The 21,674-nt window shown below is 40.3% G+C and overlaps 1 protein-coding gene across 2 annotated transcripts in view, besides 2 other annotated features; it reads left to right on the top strand.

The window, feature by feature from the left end:
- MYH15 (myosin heavy chain 15) overlaps positions 1-21,674 on the top strand; it is a 170,705-nt gene that overhangs the window by 123,261 nt on the left and 25,770 nt on the right. For both annotated transcript variants that reach the window (XM_011512559.3, NM_014981.3), the window contains 5 exons: positions 6,598-6,724; positions 10,882-11,000; positions 13,384-13,580; positions 16,880-17,229; positions 19,408-19,532. In XM_011512559.3, coding sequence (XP_011510861.1) covers positions 6,598-6,724; positions 10,882-11,000; positions 13,384-13,580; positions 16,880-17,229; positions 19,408-19,532 — 918 coding nt within the window. The remainder of the gene's footprint in view (positions 1-6,597; positions 6,725-10,881; positions 11,001-13,383; positions 13,581-16,879; positions 17,230-19,407; positions 19,533-21,674) is intronic.
- Positions 20,766-20,825: an enhancer, noted in NCBI's record as "active region_20221". NCBI's record gives its function as "activates an Ori minimal core promoter by ATAC-STARR-seq in GM12878 lymphoblastoid cells {active_cell/tissue: GM12878}" and the evidence as "EXISTENCE:reporter gene assay evidence [ECO:0000049][PMID:35858748]".
- Positions 20,886-20,985: an enhancer, noted in NCBI's record as "active region_20220". NCBI's record gives its function as "activates an Ori minimal core promoter by ATAC-STARR-seq in GM12878 lymphoblastoid cells {active_cell/tissue: GM12878}" and the evidence as "EXISTENCE:reporter gene assay evidence [ECO:0000049][PMID:35858748]".

The following is a 21,674-nucleotide window of genomic DNA, read 5'->3' as shown; positions in this document are numbered from 1 at the left end:
AAGACATGGCCTGACAATAAAGCTTGATCTCCATGGACTATGGTTAGAAAAATGTAGAATATCTTCAGTGATATGGAGTGGTTTCTGAAATATTTAATATTAATTCCTTTTAAATACCATACTGAGTAGAAAGAAACAGTCTCTCTCTCTCTCTTTCTCTCTCTCTCTCTCTCTCTGTGTGTGTGTGTGTGTGTTGTGTGTGTGTGTGTGTGTCTTAGTCCATTCCTGCTGCTGTAATGAAATACCACAGACTGGGTAATTTACAAATAATAGAAATTTATTTTTCACAGTTCTGGAGGCTGGAAAGTCCAAGATCAAGGTAGCAGCAGGTTTATTGTCTGGTGAGGTCTCTCTGCTTCTAAGATGGTGCCTCTTGCTGCATCCTCACATTGCAGAAGAGCAAAAAGGGGAAAGGGACAGATGCTCCCTTGTACCAGTCCCATTGATGAAGGCTCCTATCCTCATGACTTCATCACCTCCTAAAGGCCCCATCTAACACTATCACACTGGCCATTCTTTCAACATGAATTTTAGGGGGACATATTCAGTCCATAGCATTCTACCTCTGGCCCCCCAAATTTATGTCCTTCACATAAGCAAAATACATTCATTCTACCTCAATAGGTTCCAAAGACTTAAGTCATTTCAGCGTCAACTCAAAAGTCTAAAGTCTCATCTAAATCATATAGGAGTGAAACTCAAGGCATGATTCATCTTGAGGCAAATTCCTCCTCCAACTGTGAGCTTGTGAAATCAAACAAGTTATGTGTTTCCACAATAAAATAGTGGAACAGGCATAGCATAGACATTCCCATTCCGAAAAACAGAGAAATCAGAAAGAAAAAAGAGGTGACAAAGGGAAAAGCCCAACAGAAAACACAGCAAACAACATTAAATCTTGAAAGTGGGGAATAATCTTTTTGACTCCATGTCTGACCTTCTGGACATACTGGGGTGGAGTTTGGGTCCCCAGGGCCCCATGTAGCACTGCCCCCCCCTGGCAGGAGCTCTCAGGAATTGAAGTTGGGTGCTTGTGGCTCTCCCAGGTTAGTGTTGCATGCTGGTGGCTCTACAAGTCTGGGGTGTTGGGGGCAGCTCTGCCCTCACAGTACCACCACTGCCATAGTGGGGGCTGTCTGTGGTGGTCCTGCTTCCATGGCAATTCTCTGCCTGAACCCCAAGGCTCTCCAAAATATCCTTTGAAATCTAGGTGGAAGAGCTATGCTTCCATATCTCCTGCAGAGTTAGCACTGTATGGATGCTGCTATGGTTTACAGCATGTGCCTTCCAGAGTGGTGACCTGAGCTGAACCTGGGCCTGCCTGAGTGGCAGAGGAGCACTGAACTGGCATGTGGGGAGCAAAGACTTGAGGCAGCCCTGGGCAGCAAGCTCTGAGGTCTCAAGGGAATCCTCTCTTGAAATCACGTTTCCATCAAGGCCCTGGCCTTCTGGGCCTTTGTGGGTGGGGCAGCCACAAAGGTCTCAGAAATGCCTTCAGGGTCATTAGTCCATCCTCCTGATGAATAGCACCTGTCTTCTTTCTATCCCTACTAATTTCCTTATCAAATGTTTGGTTGTCTATGTCCTTAGGGTTTTTTTTTTTTTTCTGAAAATACTTTTTTATTCTTCACAATCTGGCCAGGCTGAGAATTTTCTAAATCTTTCAATTCTGCTTCTCTTTGATTATACATTTCATCTTTATTTCTCTCTCTTCATATTTTGTTTTAAGCAATCAAGAGAAGCCATGGAGCCCTGAACACTTTCTTTAAGGATTTCTTCCACCAAATATCCTAGTTTATCACTCTTAAATTTTGCCTTCCACAAGGGACCAGGGCATAGTTCAGCCAAGTTCTTTGGCATTTTGTAACAAGGATGGTCTGTCTTCCAGTTTCCAATAGGATATTCCCCATTTCCATTTAAGACCTCAGCAGAATTGCCTTTACTGTCTGTTTTACTACCAGCATTGTAATCACAGCCATCCAACTATCTCTAAGAAGATTAATTCTCTCTCTACAGCTCTCCTCTTCTTGTGAGTCCTCATCAGAAGGATTCTTAATGTTCCATTCATGGGAATATAGGCTTTTTCTAGCAGTAGGTGTGTATCTCACTACCTCCTTACTCTTTAATCCCTGCCATGTGTCTTTGTTTCTCCTGAAGCTGGCACTTCCTCTGAACATCTCTGTCACTGGCACCTGGTTTCTTTTTATAACTCACGTTCTAAGTCTCAACCACTTCTTTCCTCCCTATTTGCTTTTCAGTCAATTATCGCAGCAGGTCAGTTTTTACCATCTCATAGTTTTCCATTCCCATTCCCATGTAGGTCTGTCTACTTTTTAAGTAGATTACTGCAGTGGTTTCCTAAATTATCTTTTTTGCTTCTAGTCTTCCTTTTTTCAAACCATCCTATATTTATATGCCCAAATTAATATTTGTAAAGTATTTAGAATATTCATAAAGCACGGATTTATTGAATTATGTCCCTGCTTAAAAATGAACTCCAAACTTCTGCTTTCAAGGTACCTTGTAACCTTTGATCAGAGTCAACCAGTCTTGCCAGTTTTAGATCCCATTGCTTTGTTTCATGGACCTTCCATTTCAGGTTGCCTTTAAACAAATATTCATTTTTACACCAATCTGCCTTTTCCAAACTAATTATTCTCTTTGGAATGCTCAAGTTCAACCTCCTGCATTAAAGACTTACCTGTTTTTGAGTTCCTGTAGCACTTTTGGGGTCCCTCTTTATACTTATGCATTATCTAGTCTTTTAACCTTGCTAACATTGAAAGCAGAAACTAGGTCTCATTTTTCATGTTTACTACAGTGCTTTGTAGAGTCTCTGCACTCAATTACTAGCATCAACTTTTACGTATACCTCTTGGAGCTCATAGATTCAGTGACTTGTCCAAGGTCACACAATTCTATGGAAGAGATGAACTCCAATTCCAAATCCTGTGTATGTCTGTTGGTGAGCATGTCCTGTTACTGCTTTAAATATTTGTTGGCATGATAAATTGTTTCTGTTAACTCTCATAGGCATATACATTAGGCTAAACTGTTCCTTGAATTGTTTACTTTATCATTTTATGAATTATAATGGCAAGAATGCCAATGCTGAGTGGTACAGTGGAGACTGAAGCATTTTCAAAAGCATGTTATGCTGACAGAGAGGCTCAGGGCAATTTAGAAGTTATAGGAAATTTCACAATTATCTTGATTATTTTGAATTCCCATTGGTCCCTGCATTTCTGGGAGGCAGCATTTTTATGCATCATTTTAAGAATCAGCTATAAGATAAATGTGCCTTATTCTATTAACCTTCTCATCCCTGGTATCAAAACATACCGCTTATCCTTATGCTTAAATTAAAAATTCTTTTGAGGGTACAACTCTTTTGCATGCTATATCCCCATATAGGCCACTGTTAGATAAACAATCTAATTGTCTTTTTGCAGATCCTGTTTATGAAAATACTTTATACATGGAAACACTATACCAGTGGTTAGCAGTGCCTATGTGGATACCTACCATGTGAAGCTATACCTAAGGGCAAGTGCCTTTTCTATCTGTCCAAGTGGGCTGCCCACTCTACAGATACACACAGCCCAGCTGGCCTTCACCACGTGGAGACCTCTCTTGAAAAACTGGGAAGTCTTTGGCTCTTTTTCTTACCATTTCCACGCACCATTGACTAAGTTGTCTTGTAGAGATCCGTGCTTTTTCACCCTAAGCACACAGGTGCATAGCACAGCATATTCAGGGCCCTAAACAGATGCCATTTTTCACACCTGGATATGTTCCTCCTGGCTCAGTTAACAGGTCATTTACTATTGGAGACATCATAAAATAAAAATGGTTTTCATAATCATCCTATTTTTATCCATTTTCCTCTGGAACCCAGGATTCATGACAATTTGGGCCACCTAGGACATCAAGTCGATTAATCCTTAATATTTCCTTTATCACCACTTCATACAACAGATGTTTAGAAATCTAATATTTGACATTTTCTGTGTGTGTGTGCATCTGCACAGGCAGTTTCAGTTCGAATTCCAATTCTGACATTTAATAGCTGTGTGAATTTGGGCTAGTTATTTAGCCTCTCTGGTGCTCAGTTTTCTCATTTGTAGAAAGAGGCAATCTGAACTTTTGAGAGATATCGTGAGGAAGAAAATGAGCATGCCAACTTTGACTGTCAAAGTCATTTTCAGAAGTGAGAGCAAACAAATTCAACATATAATTAGAAACTGTGCAGACAACCTAAAAATTGTCACATTGATCACTACTATAGCTTTCTTCTAGTTAGGAGTGGAGAGTGGGGACAATTGAGCATGTCTGGCATTTAACATTAATGCTCTAACCTATGTGAGGTTGATGGCATCGTTCGAGAAACTGGCCATTGAATCTCTGTTAAGTCTGTTTCTACCAAGCTTGGGTGTGCTGTAGGACATCTGTGAACTGGAACTACATAACACTGCATTGGAGATATAAGAAGACATAATTCAGTAGTCTTTCAGAGAATAGCCATTAGTAAGTGAGACAGCCAGGTGGGAGGGGGTCCCTGGAGAAACTCCAACCAGCCTGCCCACTGGAGTGGAGCCTCGGAAACTTCACGCCATTTGCATTGGGTTGAAGCCTGGCCCCTCCTCTTCCTGTGTGGAACCTGGGATTCAAGCTGCGGGCGGCAAGCGCTCAAGCAGGGACTCTGGCCTTGTGAGAGTCCCTGTTTCCCCCTTTTCTTCCTTTTCACCTAATCAAACCCTGTCTTACTCACCATTCAAATTGTCTGTGAGCCTGATTTTTTGTGGCCGGGGACAAAGAACCCCATCTTTAGCTGAACTAAGGAAAAGTCCTGCAACATAGCATGAAGGAAGCAATCTTAAACAGAGCGTAGGTTCCAGCTAGAGATGGCCTAGGTTTTGGCTGATACAGAAGTTTTCCAGAGGACTAAACCTGGCATCACCTTTGAAATATTCCTGGTCCTTTGGCCATTGCTCTATCATAACAATTAGGTTAACACTGAAAACTATTAGGCTCACCATCAGCTTTCATCATCTCACCAGACCTCACTGTTTTCTCAAAATTTCATTGGTGTAATCTCTTCTTTGTCTCCCAGTTCTTCCATTTCCATAGCATACTTTCTTTGTACAGACAAAGGCCTCATGGACTGCTGTATTAATTGAGATTTAAAACATAGAGCTCAGAAGAGAGCTGGGTATGTAACAAGCACCCAATAAATTAACTGCTGCTGCTATTATCATTAATAGTGTCATCATCATCATCACCCACGATGGGGCAGATGGAAGGCATTCAAAGATCGCCTATAATCCCAGCACTTTGGGAAGCTGAGGCGGGTGGATCACAAGGTCAGGAGTTCGAGACCAGCCTGACCAAAATGGTGAAACCCCATCTTTACTAAAAATACAAAAATTAGCTGGGCATGGTGGCGCATGCCTATAATCCCACCTACTCAGGGGGCTGAGGCAGGAGAATCGCTTGAACCTGGGAAGTGGAGGTTACAGTGAGCCAAGATCGTGCCATTGCACTCCAGCCTGGTGACAGAGTGAGCCTCTGTCTCAAAAAAAAAAAAAAAAGATAATAAAAAGATAATTTATACATGAGTTTCATCAAAACAGCTATGTAAAATCTGTAGAACCATGGAAGACCACCACCAATGTAATTTTACTGTTTCTGACCATATAAATAATAAGAATGCAAACTATAGTTAATTTGTATGTGAAGGGGATACCTCATCTTACATTTGGCAACTCTTAGTCCCGTCTGAGGATCTTGGGTCTCAAAACCACTAGCATGAGTTCTCAGAGTGTGGCAAGAGTCTGGCGATTAGACTGGTTACTTTAATTGGGTAAAAGTGCAAAGGCCAATGTCATATCTTTTTCTCCAGGCATGAAAAGCCAATTCTGAGAAGTTGGGTTTGGGGATTGAAGTGTTAACCCAACAGGGTCATCTTGAGATTGTAGCCATAGTGATCAGGAGGGTACAGTTGCTTTGGCAGCTCACATTTTGTTATTAGGCTGTTGCGGCTTAGATCCATCCCTTTCTTCTATCCTGCTTGGGCAGCCTTCTAGATTTCCTTCCTCCTCCTTCCCCTTCTTACCTCTCTTCCTTCCCCTTCGTCTGCCTCTCCACCCTTGCATATTGCTCTCCTATGTGCCAGGCACTATTCTATACAATAGGGGGTATATCTTTAAACTGGATCTCTACCCTCATGAGAGTTATATTCTAGTGAAAAAGACAGTTAAATATGTACTGTCAGAAAAGGATCATGTATCTCATTAGCGTTTGACATGTTTCCTTCTCCAGAAAAGTAAATAATTCTAGAAAGGATCCTAATACCCAGGAAGTTGGGTGTCTCCCGTGACACCTATACTCTGCAAAGTTTAGGCCTCTTGGGGTCCAGACCCTAGAGTTAATTGTGCTTGCTGAAATCAGAAGATGTGATCTCCCAATGCTGGCTGAGCTCTTTACTACAGAAGAGAGCATGCGGATCCCTGGAGCCACTCCTCCCCTCTTCCTTTGTGCAGCTGATTCAGAGTATCCTCTGTGAGCCCTGACCAGCCCTTCTTTCTCAACTTATAGGCAAATGCTGAGAAACTCTGTACTCTATATGAAGAGCGCTTGCATGAAGCAACTGCAAAGCTAGATAAGGTGACTCAGTTGGCAAATGACCTGGCAGCACAAAAGACAAAGCTGTGGAGTGAGAGTGGTAAGTAAGTATGCTGCTTGACTCATAGGCAATTCTCAATCCCAGCAGACTCATGAAGGCACAACTGAGATAATGAACTACCCACTGAGGCTGAGTGGGCATCTGAAGATCCTAGGGGAGGAATGCAGCCTCTGAGACAGCTTTGCCACACACATGCCTCTTGTCTAGGAAGTGTTACCTCTGTGCCACTTGGGAACCCCTGCCTAGTTCCCTTCCAAGAAGTAGAAAATTATAATAATATGCCATCAGTAGAAGCAACTCTCAAGATCAAAGGATGGGAGGGGCAATCCACAGTCTACTAGTCATGACATTTTTACAATTTCTACCTCATTGAATATTTAAATTTTTTAAAATTTTTAATGTTTGGATAATGAATCTACATCTCTCTTTACACCTGGTAAAACCAATGGTCTGTACAGCCGGCTACCTGAGCCTGTATGATTGGACCCCATTCTCTCTGACCTCTTTTCCTACTTGCCCTTGAACTCTCAATCTGCGTTGGCCACGTCGACCTCTATGCTGTGCTTTGTACACCCCGGGCATACTCCCACCCTAGAGTCTTGCCCTAGCTGTTTACTCTGCCTGGAACACCTTATTAATTCTGGAAAGACTTGGGGATAAGGGTTAATCAAGTGGAGATCTGGGCAAAGTCAGGATAGGCCCTGCTGAGAAGGTGACATTTGAATACTGTCAACTCATTTCCTCAAGAGCTTCTCTTTTCATACTATTTATTAAGTTCAAACTAACTACATATTTGACACAATAAATATGTTTGTCTCCATCTGTCAGAATATAAGCTCCATGAGGTCAAGGGTCTTTGCTCATTGATGTATGTCAATCATCTAGAACACTGCCTGGCATTTATTGATCCTCCATAAACATTTGATAAATAAATTAAAAGTAGAAAAATGTCCCATAGTTTATTCATTATTATCAACCACTATGGATTTTTTTTTTCTGTTTTTCCAATCTATTACATTGTAGCAATCTGTTGGGGGTTTTTCTTTTTCAATTTATCATAAGCTTTTGTATTTTGCATACTCGGTCATTTATAATGACTGCTTCTAATTCATTGAGATTGACTAAACCTAACCTTGCCTGCAACTTGACTTGCCTCTCTGCTATGAATAGCATGTGGCTAGATGTTTATCTATAACTAAAATCAGTTTTAGTAATATATTCTGAGAGATAGAATTCTTAGGTCAATGAAAATAAACAATGTATTCTTGATGCTTAAGAGGCACACAGTTTTAAAAAGAGAATGAACACATTTGGGCTACATATAACACAATTCCTCCAGTAGACACCTCTATTTCCAGATGCTAAATCTAGGGTGAGAGCTAAATAAAAATTAGTTGATAAAACTAAAAACCTGGAAATCTAGAAGAAGGAAATGTTTTTGGTTCTATTAAGGACTCTGAATAGGACTCTTCTTATACTGCCCACAGGGTGTGTGACACCTGGCCTTGCTACCAAGCCCCCAGTTTGATCTGTGCTATTTAGGATTTAGTTGGTATGTAGACTCCACAGTCCAGACACAAAGCTGGAGAATACCTGGATGTCTGGCCCTAAAGGAAGTGCTGTGTAAAATCTATTTTGATAGGCATTGGCTGTCTACCCCTAGTTATTGGCATTAATTTTCTACTCACTTTTTTGATGAGGAAATTAGTGGGTAGCGAGTAAAATAAAAGTGGGTCTGAGATGATAATTCTGCTTAGGCTGCAGGATTTTTTTCTTCCTTTTTTTAACTTTACCTTTTGGTTGGCTTTTGTGTAAATTAAATTAGAAGTACAAATTTATTCAAGCCTATCCTCCCCTCACTGGGTCCACGTTCCAGATTGTTTATTTGTTTTTGTTTTTTGTTTTTTTGTTGGTGGCTATCACCAAAGTTTCTTTCTCATGCCCTGTTCTGTCAGCTTACCATACTCTGCTTTCAGAGGAAACCAATAGTAAATGTGATATATACGTGATGTATTAGTCTCAACCAGCTAGTGGATTTATATTTCTTCAGAATCCTTTTAAATAAGATGTTTTTGGACCAGCAGAGTGGCTCATGCCTGTAATCCCAGAATTTTGGGAGGCCGAGGTAGGCGGATCACTTGAGGCAAGGAGTTTGAGACCAGCTTGGCCAACATGGCAAAACTCTGTCTCTACCAGAAAAATACAAAAATTAGCCAGGCGTGGTGGCAGGCATCTGTAGTCCCAGCCATTTGGGAGGCTGAGGCAGGAGAATCACTTGAACCCTGGAGGCGGAGGTTGCAGCTAACCACTGTACTCCAGCCTGGGCAACAGAGTGAGACTCTGTCTCAAAAAACAAAACAACAACAACACGGGAGGCTGAGACAGGAGAATCGCTTGAACCTGGGAGGTGGAGGTTGCAGTGAGCTGAGATCGCACCATTGCACTCCAGCCTGGGCAACAAGAGTAAAACTCTGTCAAAAAAAAAAAAAGCCACAAGATGTTTTCATCCAAATACCCTTAAAGTTTGATTTAAATATCCCAAGTGATTCTCAGGAGCCTATAGGGGGTCTATGAGGTTGAAGCTATTTTAGTATAGTACTAAGATACTATTTGCAACTTAAATTATTTTGCCATTTGTATTGATGGTGCAAAAGCAACGATGATTAAAATTGCTGCAGCCTGATCACAAGTCAAGGTAGTAGCACTAAAACATACTGGTAAAAATTGTATTCGCTAATATGTACTCACGGTTTTTTAAAAAGTCAGTTTCACTTAAGGATGTCCTTAAGAAGCAGGAAAAATGAATTTTATTACATCTCAACTTGAGTATATATCTTTTTACTATTCTGTGTGACAAAACAAGAAGTATGCATAAAGAATTCCTGTTTCATACTGGAGTAAGATGTGTGATTAAGCTCTGAGCTGAGCTAGTAGTTTTTTCAGGGAGTATCACTTTTACTTGAAAGAATGACTGACAAACAAACTAGGCTTATTTAGGCTTACATGTTTGGCAGATGATTTCTCAAAAATGAACAAAGGAAACCTGTCACTTCAAGGAAAGCAACTGACAACATTTGTTGCCAATAACAAAATAGGAGCTTTTAGGTAAAAATTATATTTTAGAAAACATGTATATGCCATCATTAGGTTGATGGCTCTCAACTCTTGGACTTTTCTGATGAGCTCAGCAGTGATGTTAACAAATATGATTTTTAAAATATTGTATGCGATGTGATTTATAAAAAGATATATGCATGTACATATAGGTGTGTATATATGTGTGTGTTTAAGTGTGTATATGTGTGTGTGTGTGTGTGTGTGTGTGTGTGTATATATATATACATACCTGTACGTGTGTGTGTGTATCTGACACTGTCTCCAGGAAAATAGTGTCAGAATTGAGTTAAATTGTAGGACCTCGGTAGGTTGAATTCACAAAGCAGAACTTACAGATATGGAAGGCCCGACTATAATTAATAGGATAAGTTAAGCAGGGACGATAGACTAGAGTATGATAGAATTTCTCCCTCTCATCGTCACATTTCCTACCATTTAGTGACTACTGCTAATATTTATTTAGCATTTCAGTCTATAAAATATATTCACACTAATTTAGTTTTCATTAAGAATCTTATTGTTATCTTCATCTTACAAGTGAGGTAATAAAAGTTATAATTATCTAAAAATTATATAGACAGAAGTGTACAAAGCCACATATAATAAACAAGGGAGTATGGTATAGAAGAATGTGGTCTTCAAGAACTTCATTTGAATCTACCTTCACCAATTACGAACTGTGTATGTTTCTGTTTCAGTCATATTTAAGTTGCTCTGTTTCCTCCTCTGCAAAATGGTTAGTATAATACCTACACTATCAAGGAGTTATGAAAATTAAACTAGATAACATACGTTAAGTACCTAGAGCATAGAAGTTTCTCAATAAATGGTAACTAATATCATCTGTTATCGATTCATACTTATTACTAAAAATCAGCTCATTTTTAGGACTCTCTTCTGAGTCCTGGAAAGGATCATTGCCACGGTTTTGCTGAATAATAGGACTCTCAGACCCTTCCTAAATATCAAAAATATGTGGGTAGGAGTCATTCTGGCTACCCTTAAAGTCAGTAAGTCAAGTGAAGGAGGCAATAGATAGGAAGACTGTAATTATGTAGTTTTGTGAAATCTTTCTGTAGGCGAGTTCCTACGGAGGCTTGAAGAGAAGGAGGCTCTGATAAACCAACTTTCCAGGGAAAAGAGCAACTTCACTCGGCAGATTGAAGACCTGAGAGGGCAGCTGGAAAAGGAGACCAAAGTAATGTATCTATTATTTCTCACTAGTTTCTTGACTGTGTGTTTTTTTTTTTAAAAAATAGTGCTTGATGAATCAGCCTGAAGATGTTTTGTAAAAGAAGAAGGGAAAATGCCCTAGAAGTTATGGGGGAAAAACCATGCCAGGAAGAACCCTGATGACTGAAGGATCTTCCTCGGTGATTCAAATTGCTTCGTTGCAGGTTTAGAGCAAGCAAAGTGTGTGTTCCCATCTTGTATAAGTACTTGAACAGAAGGGCAGCAAGGCTCTTTCAGGATTTTGATTTTGAAACTGCTCATAAAAAAGTGAAATTAAATAAAAGCCTAGAATAAAATAAGTGGGACTGGGTTAGCTCAATATTACTTTTAAATTGTCAATAAATTATAGAAATTAGTCATTTCTTCCTATGAGTGTATAATGTTGCTAGAAGGTGACTCCAGTGGAAGTGATTCTGGAAGATGAAAGCATAGTGACTAACATGAGATATGAATTCTTTGAGCCCTGATATTTAAATGAATTCTTAGTTCATAGTCAAGGCATCTTATTACTAAGACCCCAAACTATCTTACTTGTACATGACCATACTATGAAGGCGTATACTGTGAAAACACAGGTAGTTGAGTCTGTTTTAAAATATTGTACCATTTTATTCCCTTAACTCTCCATACTTTCTATATTATATACAAATTTAAAAATGTATCATTGTTTGTGCATCAGACATTGTACCAGATACTTCTGTCATGTTATCTCAATCTTCATATCAGTCAAATGAAGCAGATAGAATTGCATCCTTATATATGAAAAAACCAAGGCTCTGAGAAGAAAAATATCATGTCCAAGGTCATACACCTAGTGATGTACTGTGAAGGAACTTAAACGCATAGTGAAATGAGTTATATTTTAGAAGATCTCTCTGGCTGCCTTCCCAGTGACTTCCAATTGGCCTACAAGCCCCCCTGATCTGGCTCCAGCCTCCTTCTGTGACCTACTTCCTACATCTGCTTCCCTCATTTACTCCCCTCCAGCTGCCCTGGCTTCCCTTCTGCCTCTTAAACCAGGCACCATCACTCCTGCCTTAGGACTTTTATAACTGCCCTTCCCGTTGCTTAAAGGCCCTTCACCGAAGTCTTAGAGGGATGATGAGAAGGAGCCAAACATTCTAGATCGTGTTTATCTGCTGTGTTTGTTTTACTGCTATTAGAAATTTTATTTATTAATGTATTTGCCTGTGTATTTTGTGTATCCCCTTATTTCTTTTGGGCTCTTTAGGGCAGGGATTTTGTCTTTGTCTTGTTTACTTCTATAATTAAATATATGCCATGTAAATGCCACATAAAGGTTTTAAAAGTTTTTCCTTTAAAGAAAAATAAAATTAAACAAGAGGAGAGGTCACAGTTTGAACCCAAGTTCATCTGACTCCAAAGCCTGCATCCTTTTCAGAGTCATTGTGTATTGTGGCTCCTCATTTACCACCCAAAGGGGTCTGGCTGAGGCTGCCATTAACTAAACCTTGTGCCCTCAGAGCTGTATCTTCCTGAAAATGTGCTTTTTTCCTAATTTGCATAAAGGACACTTGAGGACCCGTCAGGATCTAGTGTTCTTTCCACACTAGATTATCTCTGGGGAATAATGCTGCTAGGTTAGCCAGATCACCATTTAAATGATAAAAATGTTTATTAAACCCAGCAGGGCCGTCCAATACATATAGAAGCCTCTACTACACTACAGGTAACTATTTAAATTTATATTAAAGTTAAATAAAATTAAGAATTCAGTTTTGATCACACATTGTACTAGGCATATTTTGAATGTTCAGTAGCCACATGTGGCTAGGTGTTTACCATATTGGACAGTGTACATAGAGAACATTTTCACCATTACAGAAAGTTCTGTTGGGCAGTAGTACTATTTTGAAGTATTAGGAGCTGAGGTTTTTAGAGATTTCAGTGTGAAATAAAAGATTTTATTTTCTTCATCAGTGGAATAAAAAGGCTAAATTTTAGTGGTTCTTTCTGGTTCAAACAAGCTCTGAGTCTAATATATTGCTAAATATAAATCTTATTGCCTAAATGATAGTGAATGTTCTCTTTGCTATCCTTGCATTCTCCACTATTTCTAGAATTCCAGGCCTGTCTAAGTCCACAGAGCCAAGCTGGCATTTCTCTAAATAGAATTCCCTTCCCTGTTTTAATGGCAGCAATTAGATACTATCTATCCTTTCTCTTGTCTCAAATTCTCTCCCTAGTGTTATCTTACTAGGTTCAGGTTCGGCTTGAATTTGTGGCAGGTTGTTATTAATCTTACCTAAAAAAAAAATTAGCTTACTTTCAAGACTTGTGTTGCTCATGGTGGTCATGACCTTTTTGTTAATGTGTGTCCCCTACAGTCCCAGAGTGCCCTGGCCCATGCCCTGCAGAAGGCTCAGCGTGACTGTGACCTTCTACGAGAGCAGTATGAGGAAGAACAAGAGGTCAAGGCTGAGCTGCACCGGACCTTATCCAAAGTCAATGCTGAAATGGTGCAATGGAGAATGAAGTATGAAAACAATGTCATCCAGAGAACAGAAGACTTGGAGGATGCCAAGTGAGTAGGGCAAGGCTATCCTTAACCTGGAGTTACTCACATGGAGCAGTATGAGAATAATGACTCTGTCTCCAAGGCCTCATGGTATGCACTTAACAAATCCTTGCCGAGTGCAGGAACAAGCCCAAAACCAAAGCTGAAACGTGCACTGCTGGTAAGAAGCACACTCTGTAGAGGGACTAAAAATATAAAAAGTATAATACAAAGTGACAGAGACTATAAAGAGGTCCTGGGGAGAGAAAGGAGGCTCTTTCTAGGGGCACAAGGGAAGTTTTCATAAAAGATGTGACTTTGAGCCGTGGTGTGAAAATAGGCTATCGTTTAAAACCCTGTATTTCATTTGTAACGCCATAATAATTGAGTCCATGTGTGTACGTGTCTCCATCAAAGTCGTTGTGTCCCTGGTCTACAACTTGTAGACTACAAAGTAGTCTGTGAAGATGGACAGGGAAGCTGGAAAAAAATGTTAGGATCTGTCGTCATGTCTTCTAGGACAAAGGTTGCTTTGAAAAGAAATCATCCCCAGGCCACCCCTAAGATTAGAATATCAATTTTATAGCCATTTCTATGTAAAGGTTTTAAAAGTTTTTAGGAGTTACACAAGTTTGGGGCACAGCTGAATTGAGACTCAGTACCAGGGTATAGAACTGAAGCATTTTGCTTAGAGGCCAGGAAACTGTACCTTTAAGAGAAATTGTCAAACCCCAGCTTATAATCATTCAAGGTTTACTCAAAAGAATGTGTCCCTGGCTTGGTAGCTTGGCAAAAATCCAGGGAAGATCAATACATTTCTCTTTAGCTTCAACCAGAAATAATGTTTTTCAGTTCTTCACCTAAATCTTTGAGAGGCATTGCTGTGCAATTGCTGAACAGCTGCTGTGTTTTGTCCCAGAAGGGGTACCAAGTGATCCATCTCTGTACCCACAGTAACTTAAAAAGGGCTTTAGAATGACAGATACTAAAAATACCTGCAGTAGATGTTTTATCAAAACTCTGGACCACAGAAAGTTTTGGCTTTGAACTGAGATGCCCTCTTATATCCAAATATGGTATTTACTTCTGAAGTAAGATTTTTCCCCCTTCTAATGATTGAAGAATTCAGGTGAAATTGCCTATCTATCATTCTGTTTGATGGTTTCTTTTGGGATTGGGTAGGAAAGAGCAAAAGAATATAGATTACTTTATGACCACATGGGTTTGTTGGAACTAGTTCTGTAGTATGTAATAACTAAAGAAAATAAAGGGCAAACATGGTACTCTGTGAAGACAATTTTTTACTTTCAAATTGGTGGGACATAGAATAAATAAAACTTTGTCTGTATTATGCTTTTCCTCTAAATCACCTCAGGGAGGTAGGCAGCTACAAAACAATCTAGGGTCCTGGTTTCTTTTGTTATTATTAAAGTTAAAGATTTGCCTGCTTTGATTTCCAGGCTGGGGTTCAAATGATGAGTTAGTTTAGCAGACTCAAGCTTATCTAAGACCCATTGTACTGCTTCTGAATTCTAAGTTCCCCAAGGATAAGGATTTAGTTTCTTAATTTCCAATATCCCTTTACATATTCGAGATAACTAAGTAGGTGCTTATGGTTGGCAAGTTAAGGAGCAAAATAGTAGTTGATATTAAACGTAGAACAAAGTTATTGGTAAAACAAGGGTAACCAGTTTGTCCAGTTTGCCCTGGATGTTTCCTGTTTTAGCTTTGAAAGTCTCATGTCCTGGTGTATTAGTCTGTTCTCACACTGCTAATAAAGACATACCCAAGACTGGGTAATTTATAATGGAAAGAGATTTAATTGACTCACAGTTCACCATGGCTGGGGCGACCTCAGGAAACTTACAATCCTGGTGGAAGGGGAAGCAAATAGGTCCTTCTTCACATGGTGGCAGGAAGAGAAGTGAGTGAATAAAAAAGGGGAAAGCCCCTTATAAAACCATCAGATCTCATGAGAACTTACTCGCTGTCATGAGAACAACATGAAGGTTACCGCCTCGATGATTAAATTACCTCCCACTAGTCCCTCCCATGACATGTGGGGATTATGGGAACTACAAGATGAGATTTTGGTGGGGACACAGCCAAACCATATCACCTGGTGAAACCCCTCAGTCCCAGGCAGTCCAGTATGATCAGTCACCCAAAGTGAAACTCCTATTTTATCAACAAGCATTTCTAAAGTAGTTAAAATATATGTAATTATTTCACTTGACTCCTACTGCCTTAAGTCAGGTAAAGCATCAGAATATCCTCTTAACGTTTAAGAAACATGAAGCAGAAAAGTGAAGTGAGTATGGCTAGGAAGCCGGGGGCAGAGTGTTGTTAGAGCCTAGATGCTTCCTGGATCCTGAGCACATAGGGGTTTTTGCAGGATTCCACCAAAAGGGGACTTTATTACCACATTCCTCTGTTGGGCTAGTTATGCAGTCCTATTAATTCCGGAGAACCTTTTTTTCTGTTTAATAGCAGTAGATGAGAAAAAGCTTTGGTACATACAGTACTTTTCATCTAAGAAGTATAATGAATGAGTAAGAATGGGACTGCCAGCAACCCTGCAGGAGATGTAAGAAACAGAACACATTTCATCCATTAGAATTCCTAATAGTAGCATATTACGGGGGTGGTGGAGAAAGAAGCACTGTAATAAATTACTCCATCTCAGAGATGCCCAAGGAACAGCAGATGGGGGCTAAAAAACCCCATAAGAACAGTAGGACCTGTTAAGTGAGCATAATGAGATGGGTTTGGGAATATAAATCTGGAGAGAGGAGCTGAGGTGGAGAACAAACTCGGAGAGAAGAAAGAATTGTGTCATGTTGAGGAGCCACATGATGAGAGAAAATAAGCAGGAAAAAGCAAGAGAGTGTTCTTTAGAAGCAACACAGCCAAGGAGCTCTTTAGTGACTACATATGGCTACAGATTTGTAAGGTGCTTACTGTTGGTAGGGTGTTCAGTACAATCTTCCTTTTCTCCCCCTTCTTAGGAAATAATCAAGTCAGTATTGCTTATTAGAGCTTTAGGATAAGCAAATATTTGTAGGAATTCAAAGAGATTCTGAGTTCCAAGTGCAGGTTGGCAAAGGGGGAAAATAAAGACCCCATGCACACAGGAGGCAGAGGATGGTGGTCATAGACAGTGAGGTCACTTTCAGATAGGAGCTGCTGTTGCTTTATACCACTAAGTCCACTGCAGAGGCGCCATCTTACTTTGCACCCAAGCTCTATCTTTAATCCAGGGCAGACTTGATGAGCTCTCTGAGAGTTATTGCCTCACTCACTCTTTGGGTGTCCTCCTTTCTCAGGAAGGAACTGGCAATTAGATTGCAGGAGGCAGCCGAAGCCATGGGGGTGGCCAATGCCAGAAATGCCTCCTTGGAGAGAGCCAGGCACCAGCTGCAGCTGGAGCTCGGGGACGCCCTGTCTGACCTCGGGAAGGTCCGCTCTGCAGCAGCCAGGCTGGACCAGAAGCAGCTGCAGTCTGGCAAGGCCCTTGCCGACTGGAAGCAGAAGCACGAGGAGTCCCAGGCGTTGCTGGATGCCTCTCAGAAGGAAGTTCAGGCTCTCAGTACAGAGCTCCTCAAGCTCAAGAACACCTATGAGGAGAGCATCGTGGGCCAGGAGACACTCAGGAGGGAGAACAAGAACCTCCAAGGTACACCGAGCTGGGCTCAGAGCCAAAGCCAGAGCGGGTAGCTCAGGAAGAGCCCTGGCTACAGGCAAGGCTGTCTTCAGCATTTTCACATTCCCAACATGTTTTAACTTTTCAATTTTTATACTTCTGTTTGACTTATTTTTTTTTTACTTTAGATGCTGTTTGTATTAAATTAATTCTAAAAGTAAGACTAGTTTCCTACCTTTAACTTCAGTTCCCCTCTGTAAAGGAAGCCAGTGCTGAAAATTTCTTGATATCCACAACCGTACCAAGATTTTCCATGTGTGCTATACTCAAGTGTGTAGTTTTTACCCAAATTGCATATTGTTCTACACCTTTTTTTCATATATGAATATATTTCCCGATTTAATGAATATTTCTATAGCCCATACTACGTACCAGGCACTGTTTAACTATTTATTGTTAAATTTTCAGAATAGTCTAGTGTTAGTTTTCTCATCTGTAAAATGAAGGTTATATAGGTCATAAGTTGAGTAACTTGTTCAAATTCACATTTGATAAGTCGCAGATCTGGGATTTGAGCCCAGCCAGCACGGCTCCAGCATATACGCACTTAACTACTGAGCTGTGCAACCTTCCCACGTACCTTGTGGGTCTTTGCATGCCTGTACATGGAGACCTACCATAAGCTTTTTAATAGCTACATAGTGTTTTGTAATAAAGATGGCTATCATTTAACTAGACTTTATTCATTTTAGATCCAATTATTCACAAATATGAATAATCCTACATTATATATCCCTATACATGTATTTATGCACATGTAAAAATATTTCAGTAGAATGGATCCCTGGAAAAGAAATTGCTGGGGTAATGAAATGAATTTTTAAATTTTGATTTACTGCCAAACAGCCCTTCAAAGAGGCTGCCAACTTATCCCAGCACCAACAGCAATGTGCATGAAAACCCTGAGATGCCCTGGAAGCAAGTTCATTACTGTTGGAGGCGTAAATGAAGCTTACTTTCTGTTGACCTACATAGTCTATGATCAAGGCACTAGATGGAGACGTGACGGGTGCTAAAACAGTGGTTAGAAAACTTTAGCTACGTCCAAACCAGCTGGAGGGCTTGTTAAAGCACAGATGGCTGGGGCCCACCCCCAGAGTTTCTGACTCAGTAGGTCTGAAGGATTTGTATTTCTGACAGTTTTCCAGGTGAGGCCGGTGCTGCTGATCTGGGCACCACCTTTGGACTGGGGCGGGGTTTGAATATTGAGTGAGCTTTTTCCAAAGCTCTCCAGGTGATTCTAAGGTGCGGTCAGAGTTGAGAACCTCTTCCCTGATTTTCTTCTTGATAACCCATCTTTAGGAGAGCACTTCTCAGAGAAGAATTTATTATGCAATGAAAATTTCCATCTAACATATTTGTCTTTGTAACTTCTAAAAATTCTCATCATATCACATCACAGCCCAGGATCTCAGAACCAGAGGAGCAGGTGACCTATTGAGCTCCTTCCACCACCTCTGAACTGGGTAATTCTCTGAGCTACTTGGCCCTATACCACACCTCTTAGGTACTAAAGGCAGAACTGACCATAACAATATCAGGTGGAAGAGGTTTTGTGACTTCTGGATGCCCTATTCTGTTTGTCAAAGGCTTATGTTCATGAGAGGCTAGGAAAAAACACTCAAGTGCTTGAGCTAAAGCCACTGTCTTCCTTGGGCCCCTTCTGATTCTCTGGCCTATCTGGGGCCATGCCTTGAATGCTGGCAGATATTGATCCAGCTTTTACTTTAAGTTCCTGTCGCAGTGTTGAGTGGTGGCTGAAACAATGGCAGCCACTAATGTTGATAGCTAAGCACTTACACTGGAAGGGTAGGGACTCCAGGTCTGTGTTCCTCCAGGTGGAACCTGGAATGGCTCTAATGAGCAGGACTGTCATGTAAAAGTTGCAAAAGTTGTCCAGTGTACAATACTCTGAAGCACCACCCTCACCATTTGTTGTAGACAATTTTCAATTTTCAGATGGCAAAAGACTATATGAAAAAATGAATACCCTTTTAAAATTTCTCGGTCCCATATAGGATAGGTCATCAAGTTACCAAGGGTGGCATGAGGTCACTGTTCCAGTGGGCTGGAAGAATCTGTTGTGCCTGGTATCATTGGTTTGAGACTGAGCCCATTCACTAACTTTGTTTTTCTTACCTCTGTCTCCAGAAGAGATTTCTAATCTGACAAACCAGGTTAGAGAAGGGACCAAGAACTTAACTGAAATGGAAAAGGTCAAGAAACTAATTGAAGAAGAGAAGACAGAAGTCCAGGTGACACTGGAAGAAACAGAGGTATTATCACCAGGGAGAAAAGAAAGTTTTCACTGTGACAAGGCAGAAGATCTGCATTCAGCAATAACAGCAGCACCAACAAAAGGACACGTATTCAAATGTTTATTTACTATATGCTAGGCACTCTGCCAAATGCATAATTTTAATATAATCACCGTAGGAAACTACTGTCCCCATTTTATAAAAGAGGAAATTGAGACTCAGAGAGCAGGATACACAACAGTGAATGCAAATCTCCTGATTGTAGTAAAAACAGGAACTATCTATCTTGTTCACCAGTTTATCCCCAGTGCCCAGACCCTCACTACTCAACATGTGGCCCATGGACATCGCTTGGGAGGCTGTTAGAAATTCAGAATCTCAGCCCTCTGCCCATCTCTGTTGAATCAGGATCTGCATTTTAACAAGATCCCTTGGTGGTTCATATGCACATTAATATTTGAGAAGCACTGGCCTAGAACATTGCCTGGCATGTAGTAGAGGCTCAGTAAATATTTGTCAAATGTTGAATGAATAAATATTCTCATAGCTGCCCCCTCTTTAAAGAGTCAGTCACAAAAGCTTTTCAATTTTTTTTCCCCAAAAACTTTCGGTAGTTTCAGAAATAAGATTCAAAGTGATGTTGTCAAACATTTGTTTCTGAAAGCTCATCTTTGTGCAGATTGACAGGAGGGTTTTCAGTGTTATGGATTCACAGTTCAGGAAAAGTCTCTGGCTGTATCTCTGGGTGTGCATTAGCAATTGAAAGGACCTCTAAGAAGACATTTCGCCAAAGAAGGTAAACTAACAAGGAAGTCATCTTATCATGATTCTTAGGTGGTTAAGAAGCCCTGTGCAGCCTCTTCTCAGAGCTGAACTTCATCTTCCTGACTCAGCCTTTGAACAAGTATTCAGACACATTAAAATACAGCCCTGATCCTCCCACCAGTAGAAAAAGAAAAAAGATTTTTGAAAGGTGTGGCAGTCAGTGTTAGGCAGGGGTCTCTTGGAAGGTATGGCGATGGAAAACAAGACCCCAAAGGACCACTCTGTGCCAAGCATTGTCTGTTAAATTTACCTCACCGTTGTGATTCCAGAAGAAACTTCCAAGCAAATGTGTCCATATTACCCTCTGTATAGAGTTGTCAGGCAGCAGCTCTCACCCTGTTATACATAAATGTTTCCTGAGGCTATCTAACTTTATACAGACTCCTTTTCGTTGGCAGTGTGGTGCCCTGTAGCACAGCTGGTCCTTACACAGTTGGTGAACTTTGTTTTGTTTACTCGTTCCCTTTGGTTCTCTGGCTATCCTGGCAAGGGACTTTTTGAAGCCACCACCTTAACTGAAAGAAGTAAATTTTATGATAGAAATTTCAAGTACTATGACAAGCCAATGAAAAATACAACTGGCACGGGCCATTTATGTCCTGTATAACACAGAGGCATCTTTGTGTATTCAGTCGATCATCACGTGGGTCAAGGGTGAGAATGACAGGAAGGCCATAATGCTCAAACCACTTAGTACCACTAGATGGCAACACATTCTATTCGCATTTTCTCCACTTCTGTCCTCAGCCACATCCATAAATACTTCATCAACTTGGACATGTATTTGTAACATTGCGTTATTTATTTTCCTGGGTGAGCCTTTATGAGAAACTTTATCAGATTTTTTTAAAGCCATAAAACTCACATTATCCCAGGTCATGTTCCCTAAAGATTCACTTTCTCAGTGCATTTTAGAGGGTTAGAGGTGACAGTTTCCTCTTGAAGGAACTACTACACTATTCCCTCTGAGGAAATTGTTATCCAAGCATTTGTTTTTGAGTGTGCGTTAGCAATTTTATTTTCTTTTATATTGAAGGTAGTATCAAGATAACATCAAGGGAGGTCTTATTAAAATTCCCATCATCTTTTTATTTTTATTTTAAAATTGCAACTCAGTTTTACTTTTTTACATTTTGTCATATCTGCTAAGCACGCCTCAAAAGAGGCTATGAAAAAATTACTTCTGCCCTTAGGACTGCCTGTAGCTAACTGACCACAAAATTGCATCACCCCTTATGCCCTTATATCCTTGGTATTCTGTAAGTGTTTTTTGGATTTCTTCTTTTATATACATTTTTAGCTTCAGGACGGGTTTTAAAGATTTAGCCAAACCTA

Source organism: Homo sapiens, chromosome 3 (genome assembly GCF_000001405.40).
Source record: "Homo sapiens chromosome 3, GRCh38.p14 Primary Assembly".
Taxonomy (NCBI): Eukaryota; Metazoa; Chordata; class Mammalia; order Primates; family Hominidae; genus Homo; species Homo sapiens.
This window is presented reverse-complemented; position numbering and strand designations above follow the sequence as displayed.